At 39.1% G+C, this 22,721-nt stretch overlaps 1 protein-coding gene across 8 annotated transcripts in view; it reads right to left on the reverse strand.

Annotated features, from left to right (window-relative positions):
• CCDC175 (coiled-coil domain containing 175) overlaps positions 1-22,721 on the reverse strand; it is a 71,746-nt gene that overhangs the window by 1,388 nt on the left and 47,637 nt on the right. For 3 of the 8 annotated variants that reach the window (XM_011537120.4, XM_047431746.1, XM_047431747.1), the window contains 5 exons: positions 20,641-20,720; positions 18,828-18,983; positions 15,120-15,222; positions 5,306-5,349; positions 4,192-4,354 (listed from right to left, as the gene is read on the reverse strand). In XM_011537120.4, the coding sequence (XP_011535422.1) occupies positions 4,192-4,354; positions 5,306-5,349; positions 15,120-15,222; positions 18,828-18,983; positions 20,641-20,720 (546 nt within the window). Of the gene's footprint in view, positions 1-4,191; positions 4,355-5,305; positions 5,350-15,119; positions 15,223-18,827; positions 18,984-20,640; positions 20,721-22,721 lie in introns of those variants that run through there. The other 5 variants (NM_001164399.2, XM_011537122.4, XM_011537124.4 and 2 more) reach the window with 5 other exon arrangements.

The following is a 22,721-nucleotide window of genomic DNA, read 5'->3' on the forward strand; positions in this document are numbered from 1 at the left end:
TTTTTGTATTTGTAGTAGAAATGGGGTTTCACCCTGTTGGTCAGGCTGGTCTTGCACTCCTGACCTCAAGTGATCTGCTCACCTCAGCCTCCCAAAGTACTGGGATTAGAGGCATGGGCCACCACACCCAGCTGAGCACAGGGGTTTTTTAAAATCTCCAGGTGATTCTAATGTTTGAGAACCACTGATCTAAACTCCTCCTATTTCAGATCTTAATTTTTCCAAGAGACAAGTACTAGGCAAATGATTTTCTTTCTTCTCACTGAAATTTTGATTCTGCTTTAATTATAAGGAGGTGTTTTTCTAGACTTAATCAAAATGTAGATGATTGTATCAAGCCCCTCATCACAATAACAGAGATAACTTTGACAGTTATATACATTGATTTTTTTAATGTTTCTTTTAAAGTACCTCATCCTAAAAATGTCTTCCATAGCCCATGTATCAATATATTTGGTTAATACACAAATTATTTATGTAACCTAACATAATATATGATGTAATACTCAAGGACTTTTGTAATTTTAAGACAAAATTCTTTTTACTTTAAAAATAACTGTACTAAGTTACTGTTTAGCTTACATATACACTAAGAATTAACTTATTTACCTTTGATTTACAAGAAATAAAATTAAGGCAAAAAGTAAGTTTTTAGTAATTAGTTTTCAGGAAGAAGTCTGGCCTTTAATGTTCTGACAAGCCTATTCCACACTTGCTGGTTGGTTCCCCCAGCAGATCTCCACTCAGCCTTGCTACTTGGCAGTTCTTGACCAGCTTATGTCTGTGCTTCTCCTTTGGGAAGATATCCCTGTGTACTCCAACATCCAATAAGACACAGCTTTACCCTCTGATAGCCACTTTCTAGAAGGAATCCAATGTATTTTCATCAGCTCTTCAATTGTCTTGTTTCTCACAGGGTATGCACTTTAAGGTTCAGGGCCTGGAGTTTATTCAACTTTGTCACTGTAACATCTGCTCCAGTGTCAGGCTCCAAAGTGCCCAATGTTAATGAAGCTAGTGCAGTGATCCTGGAGAGGGCAGGACCTGCAGGGCTGCAGTGACTATCATGGCCAGAAGAGGACAGTAGAGGGGTGCTGAACTGAGATAAGGGCTTCTCCAGAAGTCCTGTGGCAGAACCCATTCAACAGGGAACATTCAAAAGCTGGGAGGTTACAGGTGGCTCAGAGATGGCCAAGGACTTGAATAGTAAATTCAGATTTTACTATCACCTCTCCAGGAGGGTGGTAGGTTTCAGGGATCTGATGAGTGCCTAATATGGGTCTGGTGTTTTATAACTCCTGTTAGTTTTATCAGTGGTATTTTACAACTGGGGAGACTGAGGAGTGGAGGTTAGATAACATGTAAGAAGCAGAGCTTAGCTGGCATGGTGGCTCACACCTGTAGGGAGCTGAAGGCCTGTGGGATGTGACCAACTCAGCATTCCGCTGGAGGCTATATGACCAAACAGCAAACTGTTTATCATGAACGCAGGATGTGAGCAAACTCACACTGCCTTGCCACCAAAAGGTTTGCTGAGGGCCTCACTCCCTGGCACTGGGTTCCTTGAAGTTACCTATTGAGAAATCTAGTGCCTATTGTTCTAAGAATGCAGTCTTACAAGCCTGCTGTGAATCAAGCTGCTGGCGGACAATCACCCCCGACCCCCCACACACCTCACTATCTCTTTTGCTTAATAAATACAGAGGGCTGTGTAAAGTTCAGGGCACTTGTCCACTAGAGGCAAGGTGCCCCCTGACCCCTTCTTCCAAATATACTCTCTTGTCTTTGTCTTTTATTCCCGCGTTCGCCCCGCTTTGTTTAGTCCAATAGGTCCATGGCACACACATATAATCCCAGCACTTTAGGAGGCTGAGGCAGGAGGATTGCTTGAGCTCAGGAGGTCAAGACCAGCCTGGTCAACATGGCATAACCTCGTCTCCAAAATACACACACACACACACACACACACACACACACACACACTGCAGCCAGGCACAGTGGCACGTGCCTGTAGTCCCTGCTACTTGGGAGACTGAGGTGAGAGGATTGCTTGAGACTGGGAGGCAGAGGTTGCAGTCCAACCTGGGCAACAGGGTGAGAGGCCCTGTCTCAAAAAAAAAAAAAAAAAAAAGAGAGAAAAGCAAGTAATCCTGGCTGCTATGGTCTGAGAGTTTGTGTCTCCTCCAAAATTCCTATGTTGAAACAATCTCCAGTGTGTATTAGGTGTGGCCTTTGGGAGGTGATTAGGTCTTGGGATTCGTGCCCTTATCAAAGAGGCCCCAAAGTGCTGCCTTACCCCTTAAATGATTTGAGGACACAATGAGGAAGCACCATTCTATGAACCAGAAAGTGGGCCCTCAGCAGAAGCCAAACCTGCCAGTGCCTTGATCTTGGACTTCCCAGCCTCCAGAACTGTGATAAATAAATTCGTGTTATTTATAAGCTACCCAGTGTACAGAATGTTATGGTAGCCCGAACGAACTAAGACAGTGCCTGGCTCCATTGCTATAGCAAGTTCTGCATAAACAGCCTCTGCTTATTCTCATTTGGGTGGTCTTTTTATTTACACACTGCCAGTCTCTACTTGTCATAGATTATCCATCAGACCTCAAAATATATGAAAAAGGAAATATGATATTAGTAATTCAGTGAAACTTTCTCTAAGAGTCTATTTAAATTTGTTGCAACACAAAGATTCCATCGGGTTTCAGATAAAAACAGAAGATTAATTCATGTGAAGACAGTGCCCTTGACACTTACAGATGATTTAGCTCTCAAAATTTTGCTTGATCTATAGTTGGAAGGAATGGTCTGGCCTAGCAAAGGAAATACAAATAGAAGCAAGGCCCACAAAGGATCCTTTATGCATTCGTACATCATAAGTATCACCAGGCTCATCATGATCACCAGGCAGGACCATCAAAATGACTTTGCAGCTAAGAGGGTTTACCCACAAAGTTCTTCATTGGCCACTGAAACGTTATTTCTTCTGTCAAGCAATGCCCCAGAACACAGGTTTTCCCAAATACTGGAATGTTTTTAATCTTATCACTATCCCTCTTTTTACATTTATTTTAAGACAGGGTCTCACTCTGTCATCCAGGCTGGAGTGCAGTGGCACAATCATGGCTAACTGCAGGCTCGACCTCCCAGGCTCAAGCAATTCTCCCATCTCAACCTTCCGAGTAGCTGAGGCAGAGGCACTACCATACCCTGCTAACTTTAAAATTATTTTTGTAGAGACAGGGTCTCATTATGTTGCTCAGGCTGGTCTCGAACACTTGGTCTCAAGCAATCCTCCTGCCTCAGCCTCCCAAAGTGCTGGGATTATAACCATGAGTCACTGCATGCAGCTCTTTTTACTTTTATCCCATTTTACTTTCTACATCCTACCTTCAAAATTGCTTATCTAGTGATTATGCTCTTTAAAATTAAGCCTTGATAAGCACAAATAGATTTGTACACTTGCCAGATGACAGTATTCTTGTTTCATCACTCCATCTCTCTTCTAAACTCTGTTCTCTTTCCTTCTCCCAAGCTCCCTCTACCCCCACATCCCATCTTCCCAGATGATTCTGTCACTGGGACCTCTGGGCTGTACCTGTGCAAGGACTCACCTTCAATTCTCACCACTGCCCTAATCTGGAGAGTTCTGTGGCTATGTCTAACATGACATTATTGTGGGGATTGAGGATGAAGCTGATACGCCTCTGGAGAGACTGGACTGCTTGCTCATGAGTCAAGCATGTTAGATATGATGTGTTAACATCTCAGAAGCCCCCGCAGCCATCACTAGATTTTTCTGAGAAGGTAACAGTTGCTATTTTTAATGCTAAACTCAGTTCAGGAAGAAAATGTAAAATTATATTCAACTTCTGTTTAAGAAGACTAAAAAATGTGTAAAAGAGTTTAAAAAGCCTTCTCTGGAAAAATGTTTAAAATAAACTTTTTAAAAAAATTATAAAGAAGATTTAGTTATCTAGAAAATTCTCTTAGGTGAAAGGCAGAATTGGATAACACTACAAGAGTATTCAACCCCAAATAAGTATCAATGTTCAATTGAATGTTTGTGGCATAATTGGGGATAACTAAGTCACTTAGTTGACACGTTTTTTCTTCTTTTGATGTTACCAGCTATATAGTAAAATAGCAGGAAGTCCCATGTTACCAAAGCTCTAAGCTGTTGCTTACTAAGAAGGTCCATTGGTGATTCCTGTTCCACAAGCAAACGCAGCCCTTCAAGACTCCCTCGTAGCCATGTACTGACATGCTGCATTTTTTCATCTCTTTCACGCAGCTTGTCTGTTAGATTGTTTATGTCTTGCAAGGTCTCTTCACCATTGTCCACCAAGATCTAAAGAAATGGCATTTTAGGCTGTGTCAATATAAATTGCTACAACATAAATAAATACACATTCTAAGTGGATCATGTCCAAAAAAAAATATTATATATGCATAATTGGTATCAGTCATAAAAATAAGTGCTTGTGTACACAGCCAATTCACAAAGTTCTGTACATAATCTTGGAAAAATGGATTATGAAGTGAGAAGAATAATGGAATGCTCACTGAACTCAAATTTTTAAGTGGATAATGGTAGCCATGGTGGTGGCAGCATAAAAAGCTAGTTTCACCCTCAGAGAAGCACAGAGCTGAAGAGATTCAGCCTAACAGAAGGAACTTTGGAATCAGGCAGGATCTGGGTTGTAAATTCCCATACGTTCATGAACTGTTTGGTCTTGGACAAGTTACATAAACCCTCTGGGCCTCCGCAGCTCCATGTGAAAAAGACATTTTAACGCTTTCCTAGTCCAGTGTTTTAATACTTAAATGAGGATTATGTGTAAACTTTAAATACTTAGAAAGTGGCAGAGCCAGGATTTTGACCCCAGCCTATCTGACTCTGAAGTGGGGAGGGTGCAGATGTTGCACTGGTAAAACATGAAGAGGTAAGGAGTCCAGAACTGACAACTTTGTCCTGAACCAAAATGTGTTCATTTGGGGCATGCAAAAAACAGTCTTTCCCACCTTATCTGAGTGGTAGAGTGGGAAGACAGTTTCCCAAAGAATTAAGATTTCATAGTGATATTTGGTAAAAAAAAAAAAAAAAAAAGACACATTTTAGGAGGTGGTGGTCACAGTAGCATCTAGGACTGCAGGGGAGTGAGAGAGCTAGTGTGAATTTCCACCCTGATGCGTGCATGCAGGTGCACACAGACACAAAAGCACACACACTTATTAGGTAGGTAAACATTTTTGGAAATATGATATTTATATGGAGGCAACAGACACACGCAAAACTCACCTTAACTGTGGTCTGAAATTCAGCCCACAAATCCTTATATTGTGCTAAAATAAAGATTTAAAAAATACAATGGTTACTGACACAATCTGAACATTTTAATAAAAGTCGTGTTATTCATTTTTGTTTTTTCAAAAATTATTTTTATCTAAAAATGTCTAGTTCCAAAATGACAGAATAACTGAATTGGACCTGCCCTCCCACTGCAAACAAATAGAAGAAAGAAGCAAAACATATGAAAGAAATGTTTTCAGATGTTGAAGAATGGGCAGCCCAGGACTGTGACACCTGGAAGAGAAACAAAGGAGGTGGGTCCTGCAATCACCCAGCTTTCCACTGGGGGGCACTTTCCAGACCACAGCACTGGCACAGCAGGGTGGTCTTAACACAGACACAAAAAGATTAGCAAACTGAATCCAGCAATAGACAAGAACAATAAAAGCTTTTGAACAAGTGGGCTTTATGCTAAGAATGGGAGCTTGGTTTAAAAGTCAGACTCAATCAGTGCAACTTACCACACGAACAGCATAAAGGAGTAATACTAGCTGAGCATCTCAGTGGCTGTCTGAGCAGCTGAGGCCAGTCACAAAGGCACTCTGTGCCCGCATGACTGACCATCTTCCCGCCCCATAAGTACTCTGGACACTCAAGCCTGGGTGAGCCTCCCTGGTTGGCAACACTTTGTATGTGGAGTCACACGTTGTTGGGGAAATTAAGTGCATCCCTGAGAAGGTTGCTCCAGATTTCCTTCATACTTTGCCCTCTGTGCCTTTTCCCTTTGCTGATTTTACTCTATCTTTCACTGGAATAACAATAACCATAACAATTTTTGAGTCCTGTGAATCATTTTAGCTAATCATTAAGCCTAAGGGTAGTCCTGGGATACCTGATACTACACTACAGCTGCACAATTTTTTTGAGATAAAGACCTAAATAAATGGAGATAAATACTATATTCTTGGATTAGAAAATATAATTTCATTAAAAAGTCTATTCTTCCAACATTGACTTATAGATTCAACACAAACCCAATTAAGATCTCAGCAGGGGTGTGTGTGTGTGTGTGTGTGTGTGTGTGTGTGTGTGTGTGTAGATTAGGTGATTCTAAAATGTATATGGAAATCAAAGAATTTAGAATAGTGAAAATAATTTTAAAAGACAAGCATACAGGTGAAGAATTCTATTACCTGATGTTCAGACTGCATGTGAAGCTATAGTAATTAAGACAGTGTGATATTGGTATAAAGTTAGGCATTTAGAATAAAGGAACAACCACATAAAATTGATTTTTGAAAAGTTGCTAGGGTAATACAATGGCAAAAGCATAGTCTTTTCAAAAATAGTACTGGAACAACTGGATGTGTGTAAGAGAAAACAATGAAATTCAAGCATTGCTTCACATCATATAAAAAAGTTCACTTGAGGGGGGTGGAGCCAAGATGGCCGAATAGGAACAGCTCCAGTCTACAGCTCCCAACGTCAGCGACGCAGAAGACGGGTGATTTCTGCATTTCCAACTGAGGTACTGGGTTCATCTCACTGGGGAGTGTCAGAAAGTGGGTGCAGGACAGTGGGTGCAGTGCACCGAGTGTGAGCCAAAGCAGGGGGAGGCACTGCCTCACCTGGGAAGTGGAAGGGGTCAGGGAATTCCCTTTCCTAGTCAAAGAAAGGGGTGATGGATGGCACCTGGAAAATCAAGTCACTCCCACCCCAATATGGTGCTTTTCCAACTGTCTTAGCAAACGGCACAGCAAGAGATTATATCCCGTGCCTGGCTTGGAGGGTCCTATGCCCACGGAGCCTCACTCATTGCTAGCACAGCAGTCTGAGATCAAACTGCAAGGCAGCAGCGAGGCTGGGGGAGGGGTGCCTGCCATTGCTGAGGCTTGACTAGGTAAACAAAGCAGCCTGGAAGCTCAAACTGGGTAGAGCCCACCGCAGCTCAAGGAGGCCTGCCTGCCTCTGTAGACTCCACCTCTGGGGGCAGGGCATTGCCAAACAAAAGGCAGCAGAATCCTCTGCAGATTTAAATGTCCCTGTCTGACAGCTTTGAAGAGAGTAGAGGTTCTCCTAGCACGCAGCTGGAGATCTGAGAATGGACAGACTGCCTCCTCAAGCACGTCCTTGACCCCCGAGTAGCGTAACTGGGAGGCACCTCCTAGTAGGGGCAGACTGACACCTCACATGGCCGGGTACTCCTCTGAGACAAAACTTCCAGAGGCATGATCAGGCAGCAACATTTGATGTTCACCAATATCCGCTGTTCTGCAGCCTCCGCTGCTGATACCCAGGCAAACGGGGTCTGGAGTGGACCTCCAGCAAACTCCAACAGACCTGCAGCTGAAGGTCCTGACTGTTAGAAGGAAAACTAAAAAACAGAAAGGACATCCACACCAAAACCCCATCTGTACGTCACCATCATCAAAGACCAAAGGTAGATAAAACCACAAAGATGGGGAAAAAACAGAGCAGAAAAACTGGAAATTCTAAAAATCAGAGTGCCTCTCTTCCTCCAAAGGAACGCAGCTCCTCACCAGCAATGGAACAAAGTTGGACAGAGAATGACTTTGATGAGTTGAGAGAAGAAGGCTTCAGACGATCAAACTACTCAGAGCTAAAGGTGGAAGTTCAAACCCATGTCAAAGAAGTTAAAAACCTTGAAAAAAAATTAGACGAATGGCTAACTAGAATAACCAATGCGGAGAAGTCCTTAAAGGACCTGATGGAGCTGAAAAACAAGGCACGAGAACTACATGACAAATGCATAAGCCTCAGTAGCCGATTAGATCAACTGGAAGAAAGGCTATCAGTGATGGAAGATCAAATGAATGAAATGAAGCGAGAAGAGAAGTTTAGAGAAAAAAGAATAAAAAGAAATGAACAAAGCCTCCAAGAAATATGGGAGTATGTGAAAAGACCAAATCTACGTCTGATTGGTGTACCTGAAAGTGACAGGGAGAATGGAACCAAGTTGGAAAACACTCTGCAGGATATCATACAGGAGAACTTCCCCAATCTAGCAAGGCAGGCCAACATTCAAATTCAGGAAATACAGAGAATGCCACAAAGATACTCCTCCAGAAGAGCAACTCCAAGACACATAATTGTCAGATTCACCAAAGTTGAAATGAAGGAAAAAATGTTAAGGGCAGCCAGAGAGAAAGGTCGGGTTACCCACAAAGGGAAGCCCAGCAGACTAACAGCTGACCTCTCAGCAGAAACACTACAAGCCAGAAGAGAGTGGGGGCCAATATTCAACATTCTTAAAGAAAAGAATTTTCAACCCAGAATTTAATATCCAGCCAAACTAAGCTTCATAAATGAAGGAGAAATAAAATCCTTTATAGACAAGCAAATGATGAGAGATTTTGTCACCACCAGGCCTGCCCTACAAGAGCTCCTGAAGGAAGCACTAAACATGGAAAGGAACAACTGGTACCAGCCACTGAAAAAGCATGCCAAATTGTAAAGACCATTGAGGCTAGGAAGAAACTGCATCCACTAACAAGCAAAATAACCAGCTAACATCATAATGGCAGGATCAAATTCACACATAACAATATTAGCCTTAAATGTAAATGGGCTAAATGCTCCAATTAAAAGACACAGACTGGCAAATTGGATAAAGAGTTAAGACCCATCAGTGTGCTGTATTCAGGAGACCCATCTCACATGCAGAGACACATATAGGCTCAAAATAAAGGGATGGAGGAAGATCTACCAAACAAATGGAAAACAAAAAAAGGCAGGGGTTGCAATCCTAGTCTCTCATAAAACAGACTTTAAACCAACAAAGATCAAAAGAGACAAAGAAGGCCATTACATAATGGTAAAGGGATCAATTCAACAAGAAGAGCTAACTATCCTAAATATATATGCACCCAATACAGGAGCACCCAGATTCATAAAGCAAGTCCTTAGAGACCTGGAAAGAGACTTAGACTCCCACACAATAATAATGGGATACTTTAACACCCCACTGTCAACATTAGACAGATCAATGAGACAGAAAGTTAGCAAGAATATCCAGGAATTGAACTCAGCTCTGCACCAAGCAGACCTAACAGACATCTACAGAATTCTCCACGCCAAATCAACAGAATATACATTCTTCTCAGCACCACACCGCACTTATTCCAAAATTGACCACATAGTTGGAACTAAAGCACTCCTCAGCAAATGTAAAAGAACAGAAATTATAACAAACTGTCTCTCAGAACACAGTGCAATCAAACTAGAACTCAGGATTAAGAAACTCACTCAAAATCGCTCAACTACTTGGAAACTGAACAACCTGCTCCTGAATGACTACTGGGTACATAACGAAATGAAGGCAGAAATAAAGATGTTCTTTGAAACCAATGAGAACAAAGACACGACATACCAGAATCTCTGGGACACATTCAAAGCAGTATGTAGAGGGAAAATTATAGCACTAAATGCCCACAAGAGAAAGCAGGAAAGATCTAAAATTGACACCCTAACATCACAATTAAAAGAACTAGAGAAGCAAGAGCAAACACATTCAAAAGCTAGCAGAAGGTGAGAAATAACTAAGATCAGAGCAGAACTGAAGGAAATAGAGACTCAAAAAAACCTTCAAAAAAATCAATGAATCCAGGAGCTGGTTTTTTGAAAAGATCAACAAAATCGATAGATTGCTAGCAAGGCTAATAAAGAAGAAAAGAGAGAAGAATCAAATAGACGCAATAAAAAATGATAACTGGGATATCACCACCGATCCCACAGAAATACAAACTACCATCAGAGAATACTATAAACATCTCTATGCAAATAAGCTAGAAAATCTAGAATAAATGGATAAATTCCTCGACACATACACCCTCCGAAGACTAAACCAGGAAGAAGTTGAATCTCTGAATAGACCAATAACAGGCTCTGAAATTGAAGCAATAATTAATAGCTTACCAACCAAAAAAAGTCCAGGACCAGATGGATTCCCAGCCGAATTCTACCAGAGGTACAAGGAGGAGCTGGTACCATTCCTTCTGAAACTATTCCAATCAATAGAAAAAGAGGGAATCCTCCCTAACTCATTTTATGAGGCCAGCATCATCCTGATACCAAAGCCTAGCAGAGACACAACAAAAAAAGAGAATTTTAGACCAATATCCCTGATGAACATTGATGCAAAAATCCTCACTAAAATACTGGCAATCCGAATCCAGCAGCACATCAAAAAGCTTATCCACCATGATCAAGAGGGCTTCATCCCTGGGATGCAAGGCTGGTTCAACAGACACAAATCAATAAATGTAATCCAGCATACAAACAGAACCAAAGACAAAAACCATATGATTATCTCAACAGATGCAGAAAAGGCCTTTGACAAAATTCAACAGCCCTTCATGCTAAAAACTCTCAATAAATTCGGTATTGATGGGATGTATCTCAAAATAATAAGAGCTATCTATGACAAACCCACAGCCAATATCATACTGAATGGGCAAAAACTGGAAGCATTCCCTTGGAAAACTGGTACAAGACAGGGATGCCCTCTCTCACCACTCCTATTCAACATAGTGTTGGAAGTTCTGGCCAGGGCAATCAGGCAGGAGAAGGAAATAAAGGGTATTCAATTAGCAAAAGAGGAAATCCAATTGTCCCTGTTTGCAGATGACATTATTGTATATTTAGAAAACCCCATTGTCTCAGCCCAAAATCTCCTTAAGCTGATAGGCAACTTCAGCAAAGTCTCAGGATACAAAATCAATGTGCAAAAATCACAAGCATTCTTATACACCAATAACAGACAAACAGAGAGCCAAATCGTGAGTGAACTCCCATTCACAATTGCTTCAAAGAGAATAAAATGCCTAGGAATCCAACTTACAAGAGATGTGAAGGACCTCTTCAAGGAGAACTACAAACCACTGCTCAACGAAATAAAAGAGGATACAAACAAATGGAAGAACATTCCATGCTCACGGGTAGGAAGAATCAATATCGTGAAAACAGCCATACTGCCCAAGGTAATTTATAGATTCAATGCCATCCCCATCAAGCTACCAATGACTTTCTTCACAGAATTGGAAAAAACTACTTTAAAGTTCATATGGAACCAAAAAAGAGCCCGCATCGCCAAGTCAATCCTAAGCCAAAAGGACAAAGCTGGAGGCATCACGCTACCTGACTTCAAACTATACTACAAGGCTACAGTAACCAAGACAGCATGGTACTGGTACCAAAACAGAGATATAGAGCAATGGAACCGAACAGAGCCCTCAGAAATAATGCCGCATATCTACAACCATCTGATCTTTGACAAACCTGACAAAAACAAGAAATGGGGAAACGATTCCCTATTTAATAATTAGTGCTGGGAAAACTGGCTAGCCATATGGAGAAAGCTGAAACTGGATCCCTTCCTTACACCTTATACAAAAATTAATTCAAGATGGACTAAAGACTTAAATCTTAGACCTAAAACCATAAAAACCCTAGAAGAAAACCTAGGCAATACCATTCAGGACATAGGCATGGGCAAGGACTTCATGTCTAAAACACCAAAAGCAATGGCAACAAAAGCCAAAATTGACAAATGGGATCTAATGAAACTAAAGAGCTTCTGCACAGCAAAAGAAACTATCATCAGAGTGAACAGGCAACCTACAGAATGGGAGAAAATTTTTGCAATCTACTCATCTGACAAAGGGCTAATATCCAGAATCTACAATGAACTCAGACAAATTTACAAGAAAAAAACAAGCCCATCAACAAGTGGGCGAAGGATATGAACAGACATTTCTCAAAAGAAGACATTTATACAGCCAAAAGACACATGAAAAAATGCTCATCATCACTGGACATCAGAGAAATGCAAATCAAAACCACAATGAGATACCATCTCACACCAGTTAGAATGGCAATCATTAAAAAGTCAGGAAAAAACAGGTGCTGGAGAGGATATGGAGAAACAGGAACACTTTTACACTGTTGGTGGGACTGTAAACTAGTTCAACCATTGTGGAAGTCAGTGTGGTGATTCCTCAGGGATCTAGAACTAGAAATACCATTTGACCCAGCCATCCCATTACTGGGTATATACCCAAAGGATTATAAATCATGCTGCTATAAAGACACATGCACATGTATGTTTATTGTGGCACTATTCACAATAGCAAAGACTTGGAACCAACCCAAATGTCCAACAACAATAGACTGGATTAAGAATATGGGGCACATATACAGCATGGAATACTATGCAGCCATAAAAAATGATGAGTTCATGTCCTTTGTAGGGACATGGATGGAGCTGGAAACCATCATTCTCAGCAAACTATTGCAAGGACAAAAAACCAAACACCACATGTTCTCACTCATAGGTGGGAATTGAACAATGAGAACACTTGGACACAGGAAGGGGAACATCACATACCAGGGCCTGTTGTCGGTGGGTTATGAGGGAGGGATAGCATTTGGAGATATACCTAATGTTAAATGATGAGTTACAGGGTTCAGCACACTAACATGGCACATGTATACATATGTAACTAACCTGCACATTGTGCACATGTACCGTAAAACTTAAAGTATAGTAATAAAAAAAAAGTTCACTTGAAATGAATTAGAAATCTAGACATAAACACTGAAACTAAAAAAATTATACAAGAAAATATTGAAGAGCCTGGGGTAGGCACAAATGTTTTAGGCAGGAAACAAAAAGTACTACCTTAAAAGACAAAATCGATAGATGGGCTTCGTTCAAATGAAAAAATGTTTACTCTTTCTGAGACACCATGAAGAAAATGAAAAGTCAAGCTTCAGACAGAAAAAGGACTCATTTCCAGAAAACGTAAAGATTTTAACTGGATAATAGGAAAACAACACAAAGCAATGAGTAAAAGATTTGGACAGACATGTGACAGATTGTATTTTCCAAAGATATCCCCACAGTATATTCCATTCCACAAGTTTTTTTCCCTGACATGATGCTGACACTTCTTCCATTGAGAGGTGGTGGCTATGACCCCTCCCCTTGCACCTGAGTGACTGCCTCAACCATTAGCGTATTGTGAAAATAACACTGTGACTGAAGCTAGGTCATAAGACGCCATGAACTTCCACTTCGTTCTCTTGGGATGCTTTTGGAACCCAGCAGGCCAAACTGCTACATGGAGAGGCCATGAGGAGGTGTTCTGGCCAATGGCCTCCCTCGAGATCCAGCTGAGGGCCAGCATCAACTTCAGACACAGGAATGAGTGAGTCTTCAGATGATTTCAGTTCCCGGCTGTTGAATTACCCTCAGCCTTCAAGTTGCCCTGGCTGATGCCATGCAGAGCAGACATTTAGTTGTCTTCAACGAGCTCTGATCAAATTGCCATTTTGTGAGCAAAGTAAATAATTTGTCTTCAGCTACCATGTTTGCAATATTTGTCACAAAAGATAATATTCAAATGGCCAAGAAACACATGAAAAAGTATACTCAACAACATTACTCATTAGAGAAGTACAAGTTACAATCACAATGAAATGCCATTACATACCTATTAAAATGACCAAAATATTAACAATTTAAAGCGTTTTCACCATTTTAAGTGTTGATGAGGATGTAGAGCAATGGGAACTCTTCTCCATTGTTAGTGGGATGAGACACTTAACAACCACTCTGGCAAATTTGTCTGGCGGTTTCTTATAAAGTTAATCATACACTAACCATATATATTTCCTATAAAGTTAATCATACACTAATTGCTATATAATTCAGCAATTCCATTATAGGTATTTACCCAAGAGAAATGAAAACATGGCCATAAAAACACTTGTAAACAAATGTTCACAATAGCTTCATTCATAATTATCCCAAACTGGAAATAATCTAAATGTCTTTCGACTGGTGAATGAATAAATAAAATATGGTATATCTATACAATGGGATTCTACTGTACAGCTATAAAAAGGAGCAAACTAGTGAGACATGCAACAACTTAGATGAATCTTAAAACAATTTGCTGAGTGAAAGAAGCCAGGTATAAAAGTGTGCACCCTGTCATTTCATTTATATCTCATTATTAATGACAGAAAGCAGATCAATGGTTTCCAGGAACTAGAGATGGGGTAGGTGATCGACGGCAAAGGGATACAGAGAAAATTTTGTAGTCATGAAAATGCTCTATATCTTGCTTGTGGTGATAGTGGTTACAATAGCATGTACATTTGTCAAATTCACTAACCTGAAAATGGGTGCATTTTTTGTATGCAAATCAATAAACTGGATTTAAATGAAGTAAAAACTTTATATGTAAAGAACACTGTAATGGTTAATATTGTCAACTTGACTGGATTGAAAGATGCAAAGTACTGTTCCTGGGTATGTCTATGAGGGTGTTAACCAAAGGAGATTCACATTTGAGTCTGTGGATTGGGAGAGGCAAACCCACTCTCAATCTGGGTGGGAACCGTCTAATCAGCTGCCAGCGTGGCTAGACTGGCTGAGTCTTCCAAGATTCCTCTTTCTCCTGTGCTAGATGCTTCCTGCCCTCGAACATTGGACTCCAAGTTCTTCAGCTTTTGGACTCTTGGATTTACACCAGTGGTTTGGCAGGGGCTCTTGGGCCTTTGGCCACAGACTGAAGGCTGCACTGTTGGCTTCCCTACTTGTGAGGCTTTGGGACTCTGACGGATCCACCACTGGATTCCTTGCTCCTCAACTTGCAGAAGACCTATCATGGGACTTTACCTTGTGATCATGTGAGTCAGTTCTCCTTAATAAGCTCCCTTTCATATATACATATATCCTATTAGTTCTGTCCCGCTAAAGAACCCTGACTAATACAAGCACCCACACATTACTTACCCTCCTGAGCTATTAGTTGCCGAGACAAGTCGCTTGAGGTGTGCATGAGGGCTTCTTGTCCTTCTCTGTATTTCTCTATGTTATTCTTCAAGTATAAAATATACTGAAAATTAAAAGCATGTGATTGCTTTTAGCAGTTTAGTTACTATAGATAAATTATCATGTAGTCATTCAGCAAACATGTATAAATTCCTCCTCTGCGCCACCCACTATTCTAGGTACAGGGGTAACAGTGGGGAATAAAACATACCTTGGTCAGGATTCCATCCTGGGAAAGGAGATAAAGGATTCTGCTTCCTATGAAGCATTTCACTTCAGCATTTAAATAAACATGGCATTCTGAGTATAATTTTCCACCAAAAGAAATTAGAAGGTGTTCTGTCTGAATGCAATATGTCCACAACAAAAATGTTCCTTATGCAAAATGTGTGTACAGTAGATGTCACAAAGCAGTAATGCTGCCAGACTGGCATTCAGTGTAAGACCTCAGAGAGATGATTAATTGAGTCAGGAGACTGCATGGAATTACTTACTCAAGTCAGATGTTCACTGGGTTGGGTGCCAGTGGTGGCAGTAGTGACAGGTGACTTTGAGTATTACAGTCATGGCTTTCTGTTCTGACCACCCAATGCCCAGAAACTCTAAAGTCCCAGGAACTCTGGAAATATGGGCTTTGGGACATAAAACTGGTCCAGTTTCAAGAAAGAAACAAATACTATAAACTATCCATAAAAATCTTTGAAATTGTGTTCAGTGCTACAGATGAGGTAGACATGGGACTGTTACGTAGACTGTTTCTAAGCGTGTATTATAGGGTCTACTCATGTATCTTTGATGTTGTGTCAGCCTTTTCATAGCTTGTTTTCTGATATTATAGTAAACAAAAGTAAAAGCCACCTTAAGCCAACCGCAAGGCCACATTCTTGCCCCTCTTTGACCATGGGTCTGCAGACTTTCCTAGTTCAGCTGGACTCTTGTGCTTCTCCCAAACTCTCTATTTTCTTTCAGTCTCTCTTTTTATCTCCTCTCCACAGCTCACTCCTTCAAAGTTGTTTTTCTCCAGGATTCTGTTCACAGCCCCTAATCTTCTCACTTAACACACTGTCCCTGAAGAGACTCATCCATCTCCCAGGTGTAAATCCTGCCTCTACATTAATGATACACAGTGAGAGTTCTCCTTTGTGTTCTTCACCTGGTGTGGCAAGGTTCCCTTGCTCTGGGGCACTGTATGTGTCTTGTTCAGATTGTTGCACTTAACATACTGAATTGTAATGATCTGTTTCTATGTGCATCTCTTCAGCTAGACCATGAGCTTCCAAAGGGCTGCGGCAGTATCTTACTTATCTCTGTATTTACTGTGTCTTGCCCAGTGCTTGGGACTCAGTGCATGTTTAGAGTAAAGAGATGCAACCAGCAAAACTGAGTGGTGAGTGAATAAGAAAACAGCACAGAGTCATTCGGTGACTAGCAGATGGACACTGAATTTAAAAAAAACAGGACTTTCATAATCAGTCTTTCATCCACACATCCATCTGCTCACCTACTGCCAAAATAGCAATACATATTCCAATTCTTTTAAGAAATAATCTATATCTTGATAGGAAGACAGTCTAGTGGAACAAATCAGTTTGTCTCAAGGTCTAGAAGAATGAAGGTGCATTGCATGTGTGAGGGTTATCAATGATGGTATGTATCTAGGCTCTTTGGAGCACAATTACCTTTTCAAAGTACATTAGTACCTATTATGCCATTTTAGTTTATAAAAAAACCCATGAGAGTGGTGGGATAACTATTGCCATTTAACAGATGAAAAAAATTACCCAGCGAGGTGAAGGATTTTCTTCATGCCATTGGACTAGTCACTGATTTTTTTCTAGCTATTAAAACTTCTAAAAAAAATACAGCTTCAATTTACACATCTATAAAAGGGACACAATGTATTATCCACTTTTTAAGGTTACAGTCTTAAACGTCAAATGAGACTGAATCCCTCTAACATTACAGGCATTGTGCAAAACACTTGGGGTACATTGATAACAGATCTTGACCATGAGGTCATTATGGATGGCTGGAAAAAAAGGATTTTAGAAATGGTATTTCTTTTGCCTTTTCAGTTTATAAAGAAGTCACATTCAGCCGGGCGCGGTGGCTCAAGCCTGTAATCCTAGCACTATGGGAGGCCGAGGCGGGCGGATCACAAGGTCAGGAGATCGAGACCATCCTGGCTAACACGGTGAAACCCCGTCTCTACTAAAAATACAAAAAATTAGCCGGGCATGGTGGCGGGCACCTGTAGTCCCAGCTACTCGGGAGGCTGAGGCAGGAGAATGGCGTGAACCTGGGAGGCGGAGCTTGCAGTGAGCCGAGATCGTGCCACTGCACTCCAGCCTGGGCGACAGAGCAAGACTCCGTCTCAAAAAAGAAAAAAGAAAAAAAAAAAGTCACATTCAACCTGTGAGTAGCAGTTATTCCCATTTTAAGAGGCCAAAATGAAGCTTACAAGTTCAGTGATCTGCCCAAAGTCACACAGTGTCACTGGTGAATGACAGACTCTAATCCAGGTCTTTCAAACTAAAGAATATTATGTAAATTTTTGTTGTTACTGTTTTGTCACAGTATATAAAATGTTGGACTCTATACACTTTAAAAATATGCTTTGAATGCAACAGTTCTGGGCATTAAAAATCAGTATCTTATAAATATCTAATTATTAAATATAACATTTAAAATGTTAAAACGAATACATTTTAAGTATAAATAGACTTTAATTTTAGGGGTTGGATGAACAAATTCCTCTGCTATAAAAAGAGCTATAATCAGTATGAAATAGACAACCTACTTTTTAAAAAACGGGCAAAAGACTTGAACAGTCACTTCACAAAAAAAGGATATCCAAGAGGCCAGCAACATAGAATAGGTGCTTCAACAGTGATCAGGAAAACACAAATTAGTGGGGCACCACTACACACCCATTAGAATGGTTAAATTGAAAAAGACAGTTTTGTGAGAGTGTGGAGCAACTGGTGCTCTCATGCATTGCTGGTGGGAGTGGCAATTGGTGCAACTCCTTTGGGAGACTGGTAGTATGTACTAAAGTTGGAGATACACATCCCTATGGCTCTGCAATTCCACTTGAGATGTACACTCAACAGAAATATGTATGTATGTTCACCAAAAAAACATGAACTAGAATGTTCACAGCAATACTATTTGTAATAGCCAAAAACTAGAAACTCTCTGAATATCCATCAATAGTCGAGTGTATAAATGCATTGTAGTAGTAGTCATACAGTGCAATACTATACAGAACTAAGAATAACAAACTACACTCAACAATAAGGCTGAACCTCACAAACATAATGTTGAGCAAAAGAACCTACACTGTATTGTTCTATACCTATAATGTTCCAAACCAGGGAAAACTAGCCTATGGTGTTAGCATGGTGGTACCCTTAGTGGGGCTGGTTAGTGACTAGAAGGGGCATAGAGGATATCTGGATACTGATAATGCTTTGTTTCTTGATGTGGGTCCTGGTACACAAGTGTGTTCATGGGGCTGTACACTTGCAATCTGGGCACTTTTCTGTGTGTACTTTATGCTCCATTAAACATTTTTCAAGAGCTATTCTCTTCTTTTCTCTTATAACTATTACAGGTCTAGTCAATTAATCAAAGCCATCATGAAAAGGATGGTGCTCTTAAACTTACTTCTTTTAATTTTTTATTTTCCAGGAGCAGAAGATCTGCTTTTTGGTCATTTATATAGAATCCATTTTCTAAGTTCTTTAGAGTTTCAAAATGATCTTTGTTTTTTTTGCTTTCTTGATCTCGTAATTGTTGTAATTCTTGTTTTACATCTTCCTGCTCAAACAGAAAACCCCAAATTATCTCTGAGTTCAAACAGTAGGGCACGAGGGTATTATACTGCCTAGGTCACATTTGGAGCCAGATTCTAAATTAATTTCTGAAGTATCCAGCAGAGGATAGATATTCTTCCTTAGAAAAACCTATCAACCCCACATTTATTCATGGACTCTAGGAAGGGGGTCTGTGGACTTCAAGATAAGAACCCCAGACCTTGAGACAACTTCACAAAATAAAATATACAGTCAGCCCTCTGTATCCGTGGGTTCCGCATTTGTGGATTTGACTAAACATGAATAGAATACATTCACAAAAATAAAAATAATAACAACAACAAATAATACAAATAATAAACAATACAGTATGACAACTACTAACATAGCATTTACATTATATTAGATATTATCAGTAATCTAGAAATAATTTAAAGTATATTGGAGAATGTGGGTAGGTTATATGCAAATACTACATCATGTCATACAAGGGATTTGAGCATCCGTGGATTTTGATAGTCATGTTGGTCCTGGAACCAATCCCCCATAGATATCAAGGGATGACTGTACTTTGATATATAAACAATTGTCCAGCAAAAATAGAGAAGGGGAAATGTATTGAGGCTTTTAAAGGAGGACTTAATGTTTCTTGAAGAAAGAAGAAGATTATGAATTTTTTCAGAATTCTCTAATGTTTTCTCTATTGAATTCTCTATTCAGTTCTCTATTATTATACTATTATAAGTTGCATGATATTTATTATTACATAATCATCACCAGAAGCATCTTATTAAGAAAATGGAACTGTATATACACTATACTTGTAATTTTCTCCTTCATATTTTCCTATATATTCCTTCATATTTTATAACGTATTAAAAGTTACATTTTGAAGCCTGGTGCAGTAGCTCACACCTATAATCCCGGCACTTTGGGAGGCCGAGGCAGGCGGATCACTTGAGATCAAGAGTTCGAAACCAGCCTGGCCAACATGGTGAAACCTCATCTCTACTAAAAAATACAAAAATTAGCCAGAAATCGCTTGAACCTGGGAGGCTGAGGTTGCAGTAAGCCGAGATTGTGCCACTGCACTCGAGCCTGGGCAACAGAGTGAGACTCCATCTCAAAAAAAAAAAAAAGTTACATTTTGATATCAATGCATCTCAGAGAATGTTTCCATTTTTAATTAACCAATTCCACATGCATATGCTTATCACCAACTGTTGATTGTAAATTTTAAAAAGGCACTAAACATCTCTTTACCTGCTGCTAATTCATCCACTCCCCCACTGCAACCTTTGTTCACTCACCCTTAAAAAGCAGAATCAAGTTTCTAACTTATAAATAAGAAAACCGAGGTCCACTCAATGACTGTTCCACAAGTACATGTTAGTTGGTTCTAGTCTCTCTCCCTCTTTCTCTGTATACATATACACATAAGTATACATATATACACATACATACATAGCATATGTGTACAGGTGTATGTGTATACATGTGCATATATATGTGTTATAACAAAGATTGTTAAACATTGATATTGAATGGGTAAGTTTAACAAATGTGGATTTCATGAAAACTTCAATGCCAGGTAAATACTACCATCTGTATATACCACTATTCTAATAATAATAAAAAAAAGAATTAATGCATTGATCTTTTACCATGTTGCTAATGTATCTTGAAAAGTCCCTTGTAAACAGAAAAATGTGATTGTTCAGTAAATCTTCCTCCTGTCTTTGTGCTATTAAAACAAAGAAAAAAATAACTACCTCAAAAATTTAGTTAAAAAATATTAATCAAAGAAGTACCTAGTTTTAAAAATCAAATTATCTCACAAGGTTTATAACAAAAACCAACTGTCAGGCACTCCACAATGCTATGTTTACTCCTGTCTGACTCCTCAGAATCAAACATTTTTAACTCTTTTTAGTTGTTTCCTCTTCCATTTAGCTCAATTTTCTTTAAAAATATGCATATATGCCTATTTTCTGATTTATCATTTTCAGGCATTTTCCATTTACTTAGTCCCATTCCCACATCCTTCTCCCACACCTACAACCTCTATATTTCATCCCTAACCTTCCTATAAAGTTATAGTTTTTGTTTAAATAAATTGTAACCATTTAGATCATTATGGCAATAAGGATTATCCCCGATGAGCCAAATGGTATAATATGATTAGATTTTCTTTTTAGTATAATTTTTGTTTTTTCTTGGAGTTAAAGATTGCTTTGTTTAAAAAATTGCTCAGTGTTTCATGTACATATAATTAATTCATACCAAATCTACAACAGAACTGTACAACCTTTCAAATTTTATTTCACATATAGTCAAACACATTAACATATCTGTGAGTTTCATTTCTCCCCTCTCCCTCAGAACCTCCCTCTGAGATATGCCTTCTGGAATCTTTTCTTTCTTTGTGCTTGCTTTGCAGCTGACTTCTTTGGACTTCCTTTTGCATTTTTCTTTTTCTTTTTTTAAAGGTTTTATTCAACCAGAACCCTTTGTATTATTCTTATGTCGGACCTCCTGTTTCCTAAATTTCTTATACTCTTTTTCTTGATTCATTTATTCTATTTGTTGAAGCAAATTCTAGACATCTTCAGGAAAAAGAGTAAATGGGATAAATGTTTTGAGATCTTGTATATCTCAATATGTTTCTATTCTATATTCTTGATAGTTTAGCTGGGTATCTAATGTTGGAAATTATTTTCTCTCAAATTTTGAAGGCATTGTCTTATAACTTCTACTATAATATTGCTGTTAAGAAGTTTGAAATGATTCTGATTTCTAATATTTTGTGTGAGATCTGATTTTTCTCTCTAGGAGCTTTTAGGATCCTCTCTTTCCATTTTTCCTTCTGAAATTCCACACTAATATGGCTTAGTCTTTTCTTTTAAATATTGTTTTGGGGATTTGCTTGGACATTTAAAAATGGAAATCTATATTCTCTAGTTATAAGAAATATTTTTGTATTATTTCTTTGATAATTTTATTAGTTCTTTAAAAACATGAATATATGGCTATATCTTGATTTATCATTGTCAGGCAGTTTCTACTTACTTCGTCATATATAGTAGAGGAGATTTTAGCATGCTTACTCCCATTCCCACATCCCCCACCCACACCCACAACCTCTACATTTCATCCCTAACCTTCCTATAAAGTTATAGTTTTCGTTTAAATAAATTTTAACTCTTTAGATCATTATAATAATGTAAGCATTATTCACTGATTTTTTTCTGGTCTTGTTTGGTAGATATTTGGCATCTCAGAATAGTTTTTAAATTTTCTTGCCTTTCTCTCCTTTTCCTCATCTCTTTTTGTTGTTGTTGCTCTATTTTTACAGAGATTTTCTTAACTTTTCTTATAATTTTCCTATTGAATTTTAACATTTGTTATTATACTTTTAATTTCTGAGAGCTCTTTCTGTTCTCTAATCTTTAAGCATCATTTTCTTTTTTCAAAAATGCAATATATTTATTTCTCTAAGAATATACTCTTTAAAAGTATGCTTATGCTCTTTGCATTTTCTCTGTTTCCATCAAGTTCTCTTGTTCTGTCCATTTCAGTTTCTCTTTCACACTGGATGCTTCAGATCTTTGTCTGATCCCATTTAATAGTCCTGGGTGAGCTTCAATATACAGTGATCAGGAAGGAACCAGCCATTTGAGGGGACCATCGAATGTCGGTGCTGTTGTGGGGCTTTTCTCTGAATTGTTCAGTTTCCTTTAAGGAA

Source organism: Homo sapiens, chromosome 14, assembly GCF_000001405.40.
Source record: "Homo sapiens chromosome 14, GRCh38.p14 Primary Assembly".
Classification (NCBI taxonomy): Eukaryota; Metazoa; Chordata; class Mammalia; order Primates; family Hominidae; genus Homo; species Homo sapiens.